Raw genomic sequence first — 16,745 nt, 5'->3', positions numbered from 1 at the left:
CACGAAACGTGTTAGCTTTTCATATTCCTAGATCCACTCACTTCTCATCATCTTTTTTTTTAAACAAAATTTTATTGAAAAATGTAATATGACGTGTCAAAGTTGTAAAGTTATTGAGTAAATAAGCATGTATCCTAAATATTGAAAAATATTCTCCTTTTGTACCAGGCTATGTGTCACGGCTTTGGCGCTTTGCACAGACTATTAGAAATACCTTATAACATTAAAAATAGGACATTGAGGCCGGGCGTGGTGGCTCATGCCTGTAATCCCAGCACTTTGGGAGGCCAGGGTGGGTGGATCACCTGAAGTCAGGAGTTTGAGACCAGCCTGGCTAACACGGTGAAACCCCGTCTCTACTAAATACAAAAAATTAGCCGGGCATGATGGCACATGCCTATAATCCTAGCTACTCGGGAGGCTGAGGCAGGAGAATTGCTTGAATCCGGGAGTCAGAGGTTGCAGTGAGCCGAGATTGTGCCACTGCACTTCAGCCTGGGCAACAAGAGTGAAACTCTATCAAAAAAAAAAATAGGACATTGAAGTTGGTTTCTTTTTTTGATACAGAGTCTCGCTCTGTCACCCAGGCTGGAGTGCACTGGCAGGATCTCGGCTCACTGCAACCTCTGCCTCCTGGGTTCAAGCAATTCTCCTGCCTCAGCCTCCTGAGTAGCTGGGATTACAGGCACGCGCCACCACGCCTGGCTAATTTTGTATATTTAGTAGAGACAGGGTTTCACCATGTTGGTCAGGTTGGTCTCGAACTCCTGACCTTGTGATCCGCCCACCTCAGCCTCCCAAAGTGCTGGGATTGCAGGCGTGAGCCACCGCACTCTGCTTTTTTTTTTTTTTTTTGCCGCCCTCTCACATACCATACTCCCCTGTATCACTTATCCTTCTGAAGTTGTTATTAATCATTAATACAACTAGCTGGGCATAGTGGTGTGCGATGGTAGTCTTAGCCACTCGGAAGGCTGATGTGGGAGGCTAGCTTGAGGCCAGTAGTTCTAGGTTAGGTGAGCTATGATTGCACCATTGCACTTTAGCCTGGGTGAGAGCAAGCTCCTGTTTCAAAAAAAAAATTAATTGCTACCACTTACTAAATGCTTAATATATGGCAAACACTTGCCAAACACTTTATATGCTTGATTTAAGCATCAAGCTAGCTCTGTGAAGGGTACCAGCAGGTTTCCCATTTTTTAGATGAGCAGACCGAGGTTCTTCTCGCTGCTTCATACTGGAAACTTGCACTTGATTCTGAGGCTCCTGCTTCTTCAAGAACACTGCTTTGGGTTCGCTTCTCCTGTCCCTGGGGTCTCCCTTTGTGATGGTGGTGAGCTGCTTCCTTTCTGAATCCAGCTTCAACCCTACAGTTCTCCAGAAGCTGGACGATGGGGTGGAGTAAAGTCAGCTCCCCCCGCAGTGAGGGACACTGAAGCTCCATTCTCATCTGCGGATCACAGAGGGGAAGCCAGGAAGAGCCAGGGGACGGTGGACTTGGGGCTGGGAGGTCATCTCAGAGGGATAAGGGGTGAGGAGCTCTGGTTTCAAGTTCCAAAGCCCTAGGACCTCCCTCTTCTCTGTCTGCCTGCATTTCTAGCAGCCTCAGCAGCTGCAGGCCCTTGGGCGGGGCTGGATGTAGGGAAGGTCATTGTACCAAGAAGATAGTTGGGTAAATGTGGTACCTTTGTTGTAGGATTCTCTTGGGAGATGTCTGCATCAATGAGGATGGCATAAAGTAACCAGAGTCAGGATGTGGGGTCTGACTCAGTGACAGAAAAAGTGGCAGTGTGTCTCTCATAGCCAAAGGGGCCCTTGGACCGGCAGTCGGGAGTCTGGGGTTCTCTGTTGGCTCTGCCTCCTGGCACATTGGGTTTCTGGACCTCAGTTTTCTCCTCTATAAAACCGGGCAGTTGGGTGGGCACGGTGGCTCACACCTGTAATCCTAGCACTTTAGGAGGCTGAGGTGGGCAGATCATTTGGGCCCAGGAGTTCAAGACCTGCCTGTGTAACATGGTGAGACCCTGTCTCTACAAAAAATACAAAAATTACCCAGGCGTGGTGGTATGCACCTATAGTCCCAGCTGCTTGGGAGGCTGAGGTGGGAGGATTACTTGAACCTGGGAGGTCGAGGCTGCAGTGAGCTGCGATGGTACCACTGCACTCCAGCCTGGGAAACGGAGCGGACCCTCAAAACAAAAACAAAAATGAAAAACAAGCAAACGAAGAAATAAAAAAACCTAGGGGGTTGTAGTCGATGATCTGTAAGGTGAGTTATAATTGATGTATTGGAATATTTAGGAAAAGGGCACTGGGAATATGCTAGGAACACCTGATGGAGGTATCTTTATTTCCACGGCAGCTTCGTGGATACGTCTCATTGATTCTCATGGCATCACTTTCCCCATGTAGGTGGGCAGACATTGTTACCCCTGTTTAATAAACAAGGAACCAACAGAGGCTTAGGAGAGGAGTTGCCTGATGTCGCATGATTGGTGGCAGAGCCAGGATCAACAGTGGGGCAGGGTGGGGGGACCTGGCCAGGCAGAGACTGGATGAGACCTGGGGTGAGGAATGGCAGGCACCCAGTCAGGGCAGAAAACGAGGGTTGGGACTTACTTTGAGTTTTGGATTGGATCAGTAAATTCCCAAGAAAGAGGGAGACTAGGAGGCTAGTGAAGAACTCTGGAGTAAAGGGGAGGATTACTAAGGGACATGGAGTACCTATCATGTGTCGGACGCTTATCTATATCTCTCCCATCTGAACAAATCCTTACAGGAACCCCAGGAGACAGGTTATCTCCACTCTGCAAATTGGAAAACAGATCCAGACAGTTTCAGTTATGTGTCTGAGAAGTTCATTTATGTGTCCAAGACACATTCTTAGCTAAAAAGCTAAGCATTCTGAATTGGAACCCAGAGAATTTGACTCCCAGACTCTGGATCTTTTCACTGCTGTGATCCATCTGGGAAAGGCTAGTGATGTGGGCAAGGGGCTTATTGCCCCTTGGTGTTTGGTTGGGAGTGGTCGGATTGGTGGGTTGGGGGCACAAGGCAGCCAGATCTGGGACTCCTGTGCTTGTGACTGGACTACAAAGAGTTAAAGAACGTTGGGCCTCCTCCTCCCGCCTCCTGTGGCCTCCTCCTCCAGCTCTTCCTGTCCCGCTGTTGCAACACTGCCTCACTCTTCCCCTCCCACCTTCTCTCCCCTCCTCTCTGCTTTAATTTTCTCAGAATTCTCTGGACTGAGGCTCCAGTTCTGGCCTTTGGGGTTCAAGATCACTGGGACCAGGCCGTGATCTCTATGCCCGAGTCTCAACCCTCAACTGTCACCCCAAGGCACTTGGGACGTCCTGGACAGACCGAGTCCCGGGAAGCCCCAGCACTGCCGCTGCCACACTGCCCTGAGCCCAAATGGGGGAGTGAGAGGCCATAGCTGTCTGGCATGGGCCTCTCCACCGTGCCTGACCTGCTGCTGCCACTGGTGAGACCAGGGACAAAGGGAAGAGTGGGCTGGTGGGCGAGGCACCTTCCGGCTGGCGTGGGCCCTCTCCGGGAGGGGGCCGAGCCTCTCCTGCCCGGGCCTGGTCCTGGCGCCAGCCTCAGGCCTGCAGGTCCTAACCTCAGCCACTGCCAGTGTGGGGTTCCCCATTCATCCGCCTTTTGGAGTAGGGGCTGCGCTGAGGCAGGGGAATGGGAGAAGTTTGAAAGGGAGAGAGTAAAAGGAAGCCCTGGCCCCTGACAGCGGTGGAAGTTTGTGGGCGGCCAAGGGAATGTGGGCAGGAGATAGGCCCAGGGTGGGGCAGATTTGGCGGGGAAAAGAAGGGAGTGGGAGTAGGAAGATTAGTGCTCGGGGAGTCCAGACGGTTCTGAATTCTGTCCCTCCGGTCAGCTGGCTGGCCTGGAGGGTGTTGGGCCGTGGGGAGGCGAGGCTGCCTGTGGAACTTGGTGGAGCACACCCTGTAGGGCAGGATTTTGGCGGCTGGTGAAGTGGGGGAGTGAGTTGAGGAGTGGGGATGGGCTGGTGTGGTGGGTTTGGGATGCTCATGGTGGGAGGTATTTGAGAATGGGCTGGGACACTGGATGGGGCAGGGCAACCCAGTGGACAGTGTCCCCAGTGCCCTGGCCAAGCCCCGGCCTCTCACCTGGGGACATTCTTTACCCTTTTGCCTGCTGCTAGGCAGGTAGCCGCTGTGGGACTGAGCCTTCCCAGGGAGCTAGTCCTACCCCCACCTGGTCAGTGTCCCTGGGCCTGTCCTCCAGCTTCCCCTCCCCGCTGCTTCTCACAGACCTAAACAACAATCCCTTGGTTTCTTATTCTACAGTTCAGTTTGGGGAAGTTGGTAGAAAGTTGTTTTCGTCACTGGAAAATGTCCCTTTCTCTGGCCTCAGCCTTGTTTCAATGTATCCTTGATCGTCCTCCACGTCTTGGTCCGGGAATCATCCTGTTCAGATGTCCTGGGCCCATCTAGTCAGGCAGATTTTCCCTGCCCTGCCCGGCCTCTGAAGGCTGCGCCTACCTCCCCTCTCTTTAGTGCCTTATACTCTTCCTCTCCTACCATTCCTTTCTTCCAGCAATCTCCCCAGACTCTCCTCAGACTTCTCAGAGCCTCTTTTTTTGAAATCTTTTCTCGCTAATCCTCCTTCCCCTCCTCTCTGCTCCGCTCTGGTCCCGGCCCCAGGTCCCCAGGCAGCACGTCTCTGGTCAGGGTCTCACTCTTCTTCTTCTGCCTCCTCCTGCCTCCTTAGTCCCACCCGCTCTTCCCTTCTTCCCACTGTCCTTCCCCCACGGTCTCCCCACCAGCCAGCTGCCCTGACATCCTGCTTCTGTTTTCTGTTTGGGGGCGGCCCCTGGCTCCCTCACATACCTCCTGCATGAACAAGAGCAGCTTATATAACCTAACCTTCCATGCCTTCGTTTCTTTATCTCCAAAATGGGTGTCACAGTCTTGACCTCATACTGTTGTTTTGAAGATTGAATAGACTGATACATGTTAAGTGTTCATTTGATTTATTAAGTGTGCGCTCTGGGCTAGACACTGTGATAGGTGCTGGGATTACAGCAGAGAACAAAATCCCTGCCCACAGCTTTGACAGTCCATCAGGGGAATAGGTTGTAGCAAATAGAAAGCACTCAATAAAGTTTTTATATTGCTGTGACTAGTAGTAATTACTGGGTGGCTACCTGTGTTGGGAAAACAGAGGGTAAAGGTAGCCTGAACAGGTAAAGGGAAGTGCCTGCGTCCTGGGGTGCTTCAGCCCAGGTGGGATTATGTCTCCTAAGGGACAGAAGCCTGGCCTGGAGCTGGAGGAAAGGGAAAACAAAGGGAATGCAACATCCTTCTGAATTTCTCACCATTCAGTGGGCAATGCAGAGCTCACAGTGTGTGTGTGTGTGTGTGTGTGTGTGTGTGTGTGAGAGAGAGAGAGAGAGAGAGAGAGAAGTGGGGTAGGGGAGTAGGGAAGAATGATACAGGAGAGACTGTGGCAAAGCAAACAGGATTTTGCTGCTCTCAAAGAGCTTACAGCCTAGTAACCAAGATGGCTTACAGTGAAAAATGATTTCAGAGCAATCCCGAGGAAAATATCCACAAATGCATTGTGATGTGGTGTCCTGGAGCACCAGTTGGGAGGAGGAGGAACTGGGGAAGGAGGTGAGCCTTAGTCCACTGCCTTTCCTTGCTTAGCAGGTCTCAGCTCCTGCGCTCAGCTCCAGAAAATTCAGGAGCTTCCCCACGCTGCTTCAGTGTCCTTCACTGTGCAACTGCAGCACTCCCTGTATAGATCTCAGTGCCTACAACTGACTGTCTTTGACTCAAGTGAGAGCTCTTGAGAGCACGAGCTGTGTATTATCCACCTCAGCATCCCTAGCACCCATACGGGACCTGTCACATTAACTGTGCCCCTTAACTATTTGCTGAAGGAATTAAGGAACAAGAGATGTGTCAGATGGGATGGCGGAGGGAAAGCCTCATAGAAAAGTGGATGTGGAGCTGACATCTGAAGTCACTGCCTGTCAGGGTAGCTATAAAGGAGGGAAGCAGAGTTGGATACTGATGTGAGGAAGAGGAGAGGAATGGAGAGATGGGATTTTGTGTTGATGGGCAGGGTGGCAGGAAGCCAGACACCTTGGTTCGGGAGTGGAAAAACCATGTTGAGAAACACTAAGAAATGTGAATGGGAGAATTAGAGGGAGTGGGGGAGAGGATGGAGGAAGAGTGTTGAATATGGTTCCAGGTGGAGGAATTCATTCATTCGTTTATTCAGAAGCTGTTCTCCTAGGGCACATTCTGTGCCCAGACTGTGATTAGAAGTGAGGTGAGGCATCTCAGATGGGTGCTGTGGTTCATGCCTGTAATTCCAGCACTTCAGGAGGCCGAGGTGTGTGGATTGCTTGAGTCCAGGAGTTCGAGACCAGCCTGGGCAACACAGCAAAACCCTGTCTCTACAAAAAATACAAAGATTAGCGGGGCATGGTGGGGCGTGCTTGTCATCCCAGCTATTCGGGAGACTGAGCTCGGGAGGACGGCTTGGGCCCAGGAGGTGGAGGTTGTAGTGAGCCCTGACCACACCACTACATTCCGTCCTGGTGGTGAAGGTTGCAGTGAGCTATGATTGTGCCACTGCACTTCACCCTGGGTGACAGAGTGAGACCCTGTTTCAAAAAAAAAAAAAAAAAAGTAGTGAGGCATCTGTGGAAGTCTTCAGATCATTTCCATGACCATGGAAATGCTGTTTGGAGCCAGGCCCTGGAGATGGAGAGGAAGGTTCACACACTTGTGCGTGCAAGTTAAAGCCTGAATGAAGATTTAAAAAGTGTGTAGGACGGATGGGAGCAGGAGAGAGGCTAGAAGACACTTGCAATAACCCAGGTGTGAGGCAACCCAGGAATGCGGAGAGGACCGAGAGATCACAGGGGGAGGCCTCGCAAGATGAACTGACACATGGGATGGCGGCAGGGATAGGGATGGGGCCCTGGGGAGAGAGCGTGGCAAGTTCTCAGCATTCGTCCGGGAAGTCGATGGTGTGTCATTTGTCTAGGTGAGGAGATGGATGAATTCCGTCTGGGGCATGTTAAGGGTCAGGGAAATGGTCATGTGGAAGGGTGCGCCTACCAAGCTGGAGGAGAGGTGCTGCAACTTCTTTCTGCCTTTGTATCATTCAGACACACTGTGTTCACTCATCAGTGGTTCTCAAAAGGAGAGGAGCACACCAGACTCTTAAGTAAGGGTGTGTGTGCTTGTGTGTGGGGAGGTGGGGGGATGGTCTGAAAACTCTCCCCCGGAGATAAATATATTCCTACCAGGGGTGCTGTCTCCTCACCTCCCTCTTTGGGAATCACTGGCTTCTACTAGAGTGGAAGACAGATGTATCATTAGATCGATCAGTTGATCCATATTTATCTGCTCCCAGTCTGGAGGTCTGGTTCTGGGAGCTGAGAGGACACCAGGGGAGGATAAGACACTTTCTGACCAAGACATTTTTTGATCTCTCATCTTATAAGGTTCGTGGTCACTTTGGGGAGATCATATCTGTCACCCAACATAACCATATTATGATAAGAGCCAAAAGTAGATAGGGTCAGTTCACGTGCTTCGAGTTCACAGGGACTATGGGTCTAAGGAGCCGGGGTGGAGGAAACAGACATCGTCAATGGTGGCTTCACGGGAGGGAGATGGGATCTCAACTGGGCCCTTGGAGGAGAAGCTGCCACGACCTCCCCCAACACCTTGACATTAAATGAACAGACACATGAATGAGGGGGAAAGGAAGACTAATTGGGTCCCTGCAAGGTGGCTGGATCGGGGTCAGACCACAAGGCCGATCTCAGCGTCGCCTCCCCACTCTGCAGCCCCAGCACAGGAAGTCACACTTTAAAGCCTCCTCTGGCGGAAATTGTGGGGGAGTTGGAGGGGTGTTGGGCCACCCCCTCAACTGTCTCTCCACAGGCACCCCAGCTTCCTGCCCTTCTGCTCCAGGCTGGAGTCTGGGCCTAAAGAGCTCACCTCCTGTTTCTCCTGTTTTGCTTCATTTACGCAACTGCTGAGGACTGGGCTTACTGGGGCCAGCTGGTGCCAGCAGTGGTGCCCAGTGGTGGGGAGTCTGAGGGCCCTGGCTCCTAGGGATCAGAGAGGGCTGACCTGGAGCATTCTGGGGGCCAGGGGAAGCCTAGGAAGCAGGGCTGGTTCTTCCATCCGGCATCCCTTCTTGCCTGCTCCCTCGTTCCTGGAAGTGGGTGTTCAGGGCTCTGGAGGCTTTCCTGTATTGCCAGTGGGCTTGGGGAGGGTCTGTGGAGACTCAGAACTGGCCTTGTTTCCTAAGGATTGTCTGGGGACCCCAGGGAGGCCCCCAAACCCAGCACAACTGGTCAGAACCAGCCAGGCTGTGGGAATGCGGTGAACCCAGGGTGGGAGGGCAGCCTTGGCTTGCTTCCTGCTGGGACTGGGGAGTGTTGGGGGATGGAGTGAGAGCTCACGGAATGGGTTTAGCTGTTGGAGACTTGTTGAACTGGGAGGAGGAGCTGGGGCGGGGCCTCAGCTAAAGGCCGCTGAGGGGCTAGGAGGAGCCAAGTGGCCCTCAGGGAAGGGAGGGCACAGACCTGATGGGCGGAAGCCAGGGTCGAGGGAGACTTCCCTTCGGGATGGAATGGGGAGAGGGAGGCATTTCCCGGAACATGTGGGCCAAGTGGGACAAGGGTCTGTGGCCTGGCTCTTTGCATGGGGAGGGGATGGATGGGGGTTGAGTGGGGATGGGAAGGAGGGACTTGGCCATAGGAAGAAGGGATTAGATGGAGTCCCACTTGCATGCAGGCTGGTGCCTTCTGCCTTTCTGCTGACTCATGACCCTTGAGGAGCTGGGGAAGCTGCTAGTTCCCTCTCCCCTCCCTAGGTCTCCCTCCCTCTGGCCTGAGTCACTGGGGCGGAGTTGCTGGGAAAAGATTTCCCTTTCCCGGATCTGACTTAACCCCCAGAGTGCTGGAAAGAGAAGGGAACACGTGGCCTGAGAAAGCCTCTCTCCCTCCCTCCCTCCAGGGAGGCTCATCCCCCACTGGCCAGAGGTCCCTGAAAAGCTCCCTTTAAGGCTGTCTGGGGCTGGCGTCCCCCAGTTCTTCATCATGACTCTGCCTCAAGCCCCCTGGATGGGATTCAAAGTACCAGTGACCTTAGGTGCTCCAGTGGCTTCTTCGGGGAAAGGAACCACACTTTCAGGACTGGGAAGTTCTTCCCATCACCACCCCAAACCCTTCCTGTTGCCCTGGAAGCCCCAGTCCTGTTCTCAGCAGAGGTGGCACGGTGTTGGCTGGTGCGGGCAGGGGAAGGTTGTTGTCCTCTGAGCAGGGGCACACGCCTCCACCTGCGGGGGCTGCTGTTGTGTTTCTGTGTGTGGCTTCCCCTGTTTGCGGCTGAGGCTTGAACTTCCGGGCCTGCACAGCTTACAGCTGCAGCGTCTCCCCGTGGCTGACTCAGGGTGACTGGCCTCCTGCTCCGAAATGTGGAGTTGGTGAGGCTGGGTGGCTGTGGGCTGCCTGACCCTCCTTCCCTGCCCTAGGGTTTCTGTGATCTGGTGAGTCAGTTGCTCCCCAGTGTTTAACAGACATTGAGGACACCCTCTTATCTTTACACAAAGTGTCTCTTATAGTAGAAAAAAAAAATGAAGCCCAGGGAAAACCAGAAATGAAGCTGGCAGAGATCAAAGTCCAAGTTAGAGCTAAATATTCACTCCTGGCTTTGCTTTCCTGGCACTGATGCCGGAACAGGACAAGCCATTTAGCTGCTGTGGGGTTGGCCTGAGACTGCAAAGCACACCTTCCAGAATGCCATGGTGTGCAGGGGGCTCCAGGACTCCCCAGCACGCCCTCAGCTCTGACCTGACAGTCATCCAAGCTGGGTCGCTAGCCTTGGCCAGCTCTATTTGCCTATGTCCTGCACACCTTTGCCCACTCCTGCCCCCGTCTCAACTTTGTCCCCCGTCTACCCATGCAGGATCCCCAACCTTTCCCTTTTACTCTCCTCCCCATTTGTCCTTGCCAACCCCGGGTGTTTGTAAATTTTGAGGTGGAGGGGATGGGCCAGGGAATGTGAGGGCGGAGGCAGATTGAGGTTTGATACAAACATGTAAATAAACTTCCTTCTTCTGTCCACTCCCCAGGAGTGGTGCTCACGGGAACATCACTCGCCCCCACCGCCAGCTGACTTTTTCAGAAAGCTTTTCATGGTGTAACATATTCCTGGGATGTGCATAGATCCTCATTGTTTACCTCTGTGAATGTTCGCAAAGCGATCACACGGTGAACCCAGCACCCAGATGGAGAAACACCGCCCCAATCTTTAGGGCTGCTTGTTGGAAGAAGGGGCCATCACTGAAGTAACCTGCCAATTCCCAATCAAAAACACATCCTTTCAACATCTGCCCTGTGTCCAGCACTGTTAGCTGCTGTGGGGGATTTCACAGTAAGGATAAAATACAGGGCTGGGCTCACGCCTGTAATCCTAGCACTTTGGGAAGCCAAGGTGGGAGGATCACTTGAGCCCAGGATTTTGAGACCAGTCTGAGCAACGTAACAAGACCCTGCCTCTACTAAAAATAAAAAAAAATTAGCTGGGCATGGTGGTTCACGGCCGTAGTCCCAGCTATTCAGGAGGCTAAGGTGGGAGGACTGCTTGAGCGTGGGTGGTGGAGGGTGCAGTGATTGCATCACTGCACTCCAGCCTGGACAACAGAGCAAGATCCTGCCTAAAAAAAAAAAAATACAGCTTAGATCTGGGGCCTACTAGCTTTGAGTTGAGGGAACAAAAATGAACACACAGGACAACTAGAGAACAATTAAGCATCAGATTGTATGGCCCCAACTGTCTAAGTTTCAAGGAAGAACTCTAAACTTAGTGAGTGGCGTGGCCTGGGCGGAATGTTTCACTGAGGAAGGACTTGAGCCAGGGAAGTTTTAGATCTGCTACCCCTAAGCTTCCCATCCCTCCCTCTCTTGATGGTGTCTCCTCTATCTGATTCTTCCCCAGGTGCTCCTGGAGCTGTTGGTGGGAATATACCCCTCAGGGGTTATTGGACTGGTCCCTCACCTAGGGGACAGGGAGAAGAGAGATAGTGTGTGTCCCCAAGGAAAATATATCCACCCTCAAAATAATTCGATTTGCTGTACCAAGTGCCACAAAGGTAGGGGCAAGTGGAAACGGTGAATGCCCTCAGGTCTGGGGTGCTGCTTCTTTCTCTGCTTCTTCCAGTTGTTCTTCCCTAACTTTGCTGTCTCTCCTGGGCTGGGATTTTCTCCCTCCCTCCTCTCCTAGAGACTTCAGGGAATCGGCCCTGGCTGTTGTCCCTAGCATGGGGCTCCTTCCTTGTGTTCTCACCCGCAGCCTAACTCTGCGGCCCCATTCACAGGAACCTACTTGTACAATGACTGTCCAGGCCCGGGGCAGGATACGGACTGCAGGGAGTGTGAGAGCGGCTCCTTCACCGCTTCAGAAAACCACCTCAGACACTGCCTCAGCTGCTCCAAATGCCGAAAGGGTGAGTGTGCACAGGCAGGAGAGTCAGGCGGGTCTTGAGTGGTGTGTGGGTGCCTGTCTATGTGCAGGCTGGTGGGTGTGGGCAGGAAGGTGTGTGTTTTGGTGGGACACTGCATGGATGTGAGTGTGTATTACAGAGACACACACTTAGGGGTATGTCAGGAAGGGGATGCAGGGACAGGAGGATGCAGGACTCATACCCCATCTTCTCCCCTCACCAGAAATGGGTCAGGTGGAGATCTCTTCTTGCACAGTGGACCGGGACACCGTGTGTGGCTGCAGGAAGAACCAGTACCGGCATTATTGGAGTGAAAACCTTTTCCAGTGCTTCAATTGCAGCCTCTGCCTCAATGGGACCGTGCACCTCTCCTGTGAGCGCAGCTCTCCTGAGGCCAAGCCCTCTCCCCACCCCAGGGGTTGGCCCCTTCCCCATGCGGTGGCACTTCCTTTCCTTCCCCCTCCTGTATTCTGTGGGTCTGACAACCAACTCCTCTCTGGCCGCCCCCACCCTGTCCCTCGTCACTTCCTCTGTCCTGTGGGGTGGGGGTGCAGGCGCTTCTCCTTTAGCTGTGCCGCACTTCTCCCTACAGGCCAGGAGAAACAGAACACCGTGTGCACCTGCCATGCAGGTTTCTTTCTAAGAGAAAACGAGTGTGTCTCCTGTAGTAAGTGAGTATCTCTGAGAGCTGCTGGGCACTGGATGGTGGCATGGGTTGGGACGGGTGACTGGTGGGAACCATTAGCTGGGCAACAGATGCCAGGATGCCCCAGAGTGCTCAGGGTCCTACTGGCTGAGTAGGAGACACTTCGTTAAGACACCAGGCAGTCCTTCCCCTTGCTCTTCAAATCTGAAGAAGTCTTTGAGGATGGAAGATCATGCCCCAAGGGCTGGCAGCCCTTCCAACTCAGATATGTAGATTCTTGGATCTACGATAGCTCATTGGTTCTAGGACATACACTCTTATAGCTCTGAAATCAAACCTCCTATAACTGGTGACTCATCATGGTTGAATTGGCAGCTCTGTTTGCGTCTGGGTAGTAATGTAAAGAAAAGTGCCTTTTATTCTTGATGGCGTCTTAGGTTTGATGCAATATGGTATTTCCTCATTAGTCACTGTCCAGGCCTCCTTACTCCTGGCTCCACAGAGGCTGTTCTTGTCACTCACTTGCAAAGAATAAACTCTGAGGGCTCTCAGAGTTTGAACCCCAGCATAGCCACTTACTGGCTATGTGACGTTGGGCAAGTTTCTTAACATCTCTGAGCCTGACTTTTCTTTTGGTGTTTTTTTTTTTTTTTTTTTTTTGAGACAGGGTTTCACTCTGTCACCCAGGCTGGAGTGCAGTGGTGCAACCGTGGCTCAGCCTCCACCTCCAGGGCTCAAGCCATCCTCTTGCCTTAGCCTCCTGAGTAGCTGGGATTAGAGGCACACACCACTACACCCAGCTAATGTTTTACTTTTTGTAGAGACAGGGTCCTACTATATTGCCCAGGCTGGCCTCGGACTCCTGGGCTCAAGCGATCTTCCGCCTCAGCCTCCCAAAGTGCTAGGATTACGGGCATGAGCCACCACGCCTGGCCTGGGCCTTAGATTTCTTATATTTAAAGTAAGCATAATGACATTCATTTGGTGAATTTGTGAGAACCAAAAACAAAGAAACAAACAAAACCTACAACACGTCTGACACAAAACTATTTATTTTCCATTAATCTTCTTTTTTTTTTTTTTTTTTTTTTTTGACACAGAGTCCTGCTCTGTCGCCCAGGCTGGAATGCAGTGGCGCGATCTCGGCTCACTGCAACCTCTGCCTCCCAGATTCAAGCAATTCTCCTGCTTCAGCCTCCCAAGTAGCTGGGATTACAGGCACGTGCCACCATGCCTGGCTAATTTTTGTATTTTTAGTAGAGATGGGGTTTCACCATCTTGGTCAGGCTGGTCTCAAACTCCTGGTGATCCACCTGCCTCTGCCTCCCAAAGTGCTGGGATTACAGCCGTGAGCCACTGCACCCAGCCGGCTTCATCTCTTCTTGAAATCACTTTTATACCATTCTATGTGGTTCTCACCATGAGCTTGAGTGGTGGGCTAAAGTGCCTCTCCCTGCTTTCAGCTTCCTGCTGGGAACTCACTCTCTCAAGTTCCTTCCAGCACCACCCCATAGAGTTCCCATCACTCCACACTGTCCAGTGACAACTCCCAACATGGAAGATCTGCTAGTTCTACAGGGTGCTCTCTGGCTGCCCCAGTAACATGTGTTTTTAAATTTTTCACATGCATGTTTGACCCCGACTCCCCGAAGTCAGGTACTGTAACTAGCAGTGTCATTTAAGAAAAAGCCCTTTAACCTCTCTTTGCCAAAGGATTCTTATCAGCAAAACAGTGATGAAACAACAATCCCATAACAGCTAGCTGGCTACCTTCTCAAGCACTTATTAAATGAGGCATAATGATTTTGCTTAATCCTCAATCCTGAGAGGTGGGCGATCCCTGTGGTGATGAGGAAACCGAGGCTTGGGGGTTAATGGCTTGCCTAGATTCACACTGCTAGCCAAGGAATGAACTGGAATTTACACCCTGACCCTGACTGCTTTTCACATTTTCTACACAGCCTTTTCAAGATCCCTGCCAATTCTAAAATTAAATGATTCTATGATTAACTGTGTTTCATTCTTCTGCATCAGTTCCCAAAACAAATTATATCAAGAGACAGCAAAAATATTTGTAAAGAAAGGATGTCCAACAATCTGTGTGGTTGTTTTTCTGTGTTCCTCCAATGGTAGGGCCTCTGTTCACCAGTGCCGTCTCTTCTTTTAGCTGTAAGAAAAGCCTGGAGTGCACGAAGTTGTGCCTACCCCAGATTGAGAATGTTAAGGGCACTGAGGACTCAGGTGAGGAGAAGTGACCTGGTGCCCATGCTCACCTGCCCTCTCCCTCTTCTTGCCCCCACCCGTCCATCCATCCCACCCATCCATCTATCCCTGCGGCCCCCCTCTGCCCGCTCCTCTGACCAACACCTGCTTTGTCTGCAGGCACCACAGTGCTGTTGCCCCTGGTCATTTTCTTTGGTCTTTGCCTTTTATCCCTCCTCTTCATTGGTTTAATGTATCGCTACCAACGGTGGAAGTCCAAGCTCTACTCCATTGGTGAGTGGGGGCTTTGGGAGGGAGAGGGAGCTGGTGGGGGTGAGGGAGGACATGGGTGGGTGCGATGGACATGTGTGGAGGGAGGTGAGGAGTGTCCCCTCAGTTCATACCGCTGGGGACTCTGGGCAGAAGGTGGCCCTGGATGGCTGGGGAGATGTCGAGCTGCATCAGTAGCTCTCTCGTCCCTGGGGCCACATAGGCCCTGAGGCATGTCACCACAAGTCCCCACTGCCAGCTGAGTCCAGGGTGCCAGGGCTGAGAGAGGAAGTGAAATTTATGATGCTTTCTTTCTTTTTCCTCAGTTTGTGGGAAATCGACACCTGAAAAAGAGGTGAGATGAAATGAGAGAGTTACTCCCAAATGTCCCTGACCATTCCTTATAATTGCCTAATGCTCAGATCCCCTGGAATCATCCTTCACTTTCCGGGGGCTCGCCTCATTCCCTCTAAGTCCCAACCCCCACGTAGAATAAAGAGGGCCGGGGCTGGTTTTCGCTGCCGCACTAATGCTGCGCCACCTTCTCTCTTTCAGGGGGAGCTTGAAGGAACTACTACTAAGCCCCTGGCCCCAAACCCAAGCTTCAGTCCCACTCCAGGCTTCACCCCCACCCTGGGCTTCAGTCCCGTGCCCAGTTCCACCTTCACCTCCAGCTCCACCTATACCCCCGGTGACTGTCCCAACTTTGCGGCTCCCCGCAGAGAGGTGGCACCACCCTATCAGGGGGCTGACCCCATCCTTGCGACAGCCCTCGCCTCCGACCCCATCCCCAACCCCCTTCAGAAGTGGGAGGACAGCGCCCACAAGCCACAGAGCCTAGACAGTGAGTTTCTCCCGCGGCTGGAGACGAGGAGGCTGGGGGAGGGCCGGGGGAGCGCGGGAGGCGCTCCCAGAGGGGACCACGAGAGGCGGAGGGCGCGGGATGCGGGGCGGGGCCTGGGGTTGCCGCCCGAGGCTCACCGGCCCGCGTCCCCGCAGCTGATGACCCCGCGACGCTGTACGCCGTGGTGGAGAACGTGCCCCCGTTGCGCTGGAAGGAATTCGTGCGGCGCCTAGGGCTGAGCGACCACGAGATCGATCGGCTGGAGCTGCAGAACGGGCGCTGCCTGCGCGAGGCGCAATACAGCATGCTGGCGACCTGGAGGCGGCGCACGCCGCGGCGCGAGGCCACGCTGGAGCTGCTGGGACGCGTGCTCCGCGACATGGACCTGCTGGGCTGCCTGGAGGACATCGAGGAGGCGCTTTGCGGCCCCGCCGCCCTCCCGCCCGCGCCCAGTCTTCTCAGATGAGGCTGCGCCCCTGCGGGCAGCTCTAAGGACCGTCCTGCGAGATCGCCTTCCAACCCCACTTTTTTCTGGAAAGGAGGGGTCCTGCAGGGGCAAGCAGGAGCTAGCAGCCGCCTACTTGGTGCTAACCCCTCGATGTACATAGCTTTTCTCAGCTGCCTGCGCGCCGCCGACAGTCAGCGCTGTGCGCGCGGAGAGAGGTGCGCCGTGGGCTCAAGAGCCTGAGTGGGTGGTTTGCGAGGATGAGGGACGCTATGCCTCATGCCCGTTTTGGGTGTCCTCACCAGCAAGGCTGCTCGGGGGCCCCTGGTTCGTCCCTGAGCCTTTTTCACAGTGCATAAGCAGTTTTTTTTGTTTTTGTTTTGTTTTGTTTTGTTTTTAAATCAATCATGTTACACTAATAGAAACTTGGCACTCCTGTGCCCTCTGCCTGGACAAGCACATAGCAAGCTGAACTGTCCTAAGGCAGGGGCGAGCACGGAACAATGGGGCCTTCAGCTGGAGCTGTGGACTTTTGTACATACACTAAAATTCTGAAGTTAAAGCTCTGCTCTTGGAGACAGTGGTCTGTCGGGATGGGAGGTGGGGGCAGAGGCCCAGATCCTGAGGGGTGAGATGGGAAAAGCCCTGCACTAGGGCCAGGTAGCCCATCACCATCACGCCAAGTGACAGAGGAGTAGCAGGTTCTTGTTCTGAACACCGTCATCTGTTGCCCAAGCTGGAGTGCGCTCACTGCAGCCTCCAACCCTTGGGCTCATGGGGTCCTCCCGCCTCAGCCTCCGGACACAGGCACACCACCA

At 53.2% G+C, this 16,745-nt stretch overlaps 1 protein-coding gene and 1 pseudogene across 4 annotated transcripts, besides 7 other annotated features; one reads left to right on the top strand and one right to left on the bottom strand.

Moving 5' to 3' along the window:
- RN7SL391P (RNA, 7SL, cytoplasmic 391, pseudogene) lies at positions 423–706 on the bottom strand (annotated as a pseudogene).
- TNFRSF1A (TNF receptor superfamily member 1A) lies at positions 3,184–16,489 on the top strand. 4 transcript variants are annotated; one of them, NM_001346092.2, is made up of 11 exons: positions 3,184–3,484; positions 11,016–11,169; positions 11,395–11,523; positions 11,744–11,893; positions 12,113–12,191; positions 13,267–13,384; positions 14,334–14,407; positions 14,549–14,662; positions 14,965–14,993; positions 15,194–15,482; positions 15,638–16,489. In NM_001346092.2, exons 6-11 carry the CDS (start codon positions 13,293–13,295, stop codon positions 15,946–15,948), a joined length of 909 nt encoding a protein of 302 aa, NP_001333021.1. In that variant the 5' UTR covers positions 3,184–3,484; positions 11,016–11,169; positions 11,395–11,523; positions 11,744–11,893; positions 12,113–12,191; positions 13,267–13,292; the 3' UTR covers positions 15,949–16,489. The 4 variants fall into 4 exon arrangements, 3 of the variants coding, with proteins under 3 accessions (NP_001333021.1, NP_001056.1, NP_001333020.1); NM_001065.4 differs by lacking the exon at positions 13,267–13,384; NR_144351.2 differs by lacking the exons at positions 13,267–13,384; positions 14,334–14,407.
- Positions 3,282–3,381: an enhancer, noted in NCBI's record as "active region_5850". NCBI's record gives its function as "activates an Ori minimal core promoter by ATAC-STARR-seq in GM12878 lymphoblastoid cells {active_cell/tissue: GM12878}" and the evidence as "EXISTENCE:reporter gene assay evidence [ECO:0000049][PMID:35858748]".
- Positions 7,456–8,325: an enhancer, noted in NCBI's record as "H3K27ac-H3K4me1 hESC enhancer chr12:6446101-6446970 (GRCh37/hg19 assembly coordinates)". NCBI's record gives its function as "activates a minimal SCP1, AML or CMV promoter by ChIP-STARR-seq in primed H9 embryonic stem cells {active_cell/tissue: H9 hESC(primed)}" and the evidence as "EXISTENCE:reporter gene assay evidence [ECO:0000049][PMID:30033119]".
- Positions 7,763–8,057: an enhancer, noted in NCBI's record as "tiled region #11848; K562 Activating DNase matched - State 1:Tss". NCBI's record gives its function as "activates a minimal TATA promoter and a strong SV40 promoter by Sharpr-MPRA in K562 cells {active_cell/tissue: K562}" and the evidence as "EXISTENCE:reporter gene assay evidence [ECO:0000049][PMID:27701403]".
- Positions 7,940–7,989: an enhancer, noted in NCBI's record as "active region_5849". NCBI's record gives its function as "activates an Ori minimal core promoter by ATAC-STARR-seq in GM12878 lymphoblastoid cells {active_cell/tissue: GM12878}" and the evidence as "EXISTENCE:reporter gene assay evidence [ECO:0000049][PMID:35858748]".
- Positions 8,050–8,139: an enhancer, noted in NCBI's record as "active region_5848". NCBI's record gives its function as "activates an Ori minimal core promoter by ATAC-STARR-seq in GM12878 lymphoblastoid cells {active_cell/tissue: GM12878}" and the evidence as "EXISTENCE:reporter gene assay evidence [ECO:0000049][PMID:35858748]".
- Positions 10,068–10,938: an enhancer, noted in NCBI's record as "H3K27ac-H3K4me1 hESC enhancer chr12:6443488-6444358 (GRCh37/hg19 assembly coordinates)". NCBI's record gives its function as "activates a minimal SCP1, AML or CMV promoter by ChIP-STARR-seq in primed H9 embryonic stem cells {active_cell/tissue: H9 hESC(primed)}" and the evidence as "EXISTENCE:reporter gene assay evidence [ECO:0000049][PMID:30033119]".
- Positions 14,893–15,022: an enhancer, noted in NCBI's record as "active region_5847". NCBI's record gives its function as "activates an Ori minimal core promoter by ATAC-STARR-seq in GM12878 lymphoblastoid cells {active_cell/tissue: GM12878}" and the evidence as "EXISTENCE:reporter gene assay evidence [ECO:0000049][PMID:35858748]".

Source organism: Homo sapiens, chromosome 12 (assembly GCF_000001405.40).
Source record: "Homo sapiens chromosome 12, GRCh38.p14 Primary Assembly".
NCBI classification, from domain to species: domain Eukaryota; kingdom Metazoa; phylum Chordata; class Mammalia; order Primates; family Hominidae; genus Homo; species Homo sapiens.
The sequence above is the reverse complement of the archived record's forward strand: the minus strand, read 5'-3'. Positions and strand labels throughout refer to the sequence as shown.

Excerpts from the sequence above, each read along its gene's own strand:
- TNFRSF1A (NM_001065.4), top strand. The coding sequence starts at position 3,446 with ATGGGCCTCTCCACCGTGCCTGACCTGCTGCTGCCACTG. Across the intron at positions 11,170-11,394 it reads CTGTACCAAGTGCCACAAAG|GAACCTACTTGTACAATGAC; the intron begins GTAGGGGCAAGT and ends CCCCATTCACAG. Across the intron at positions 12,192-14,333 it reads GAGTGTGTCTCCTGTAGTAA|CTGTAAGAAAAGCCTGGAGT; the intron begins GTGAGTATCTCT and ends CTCTTCTTTTAG.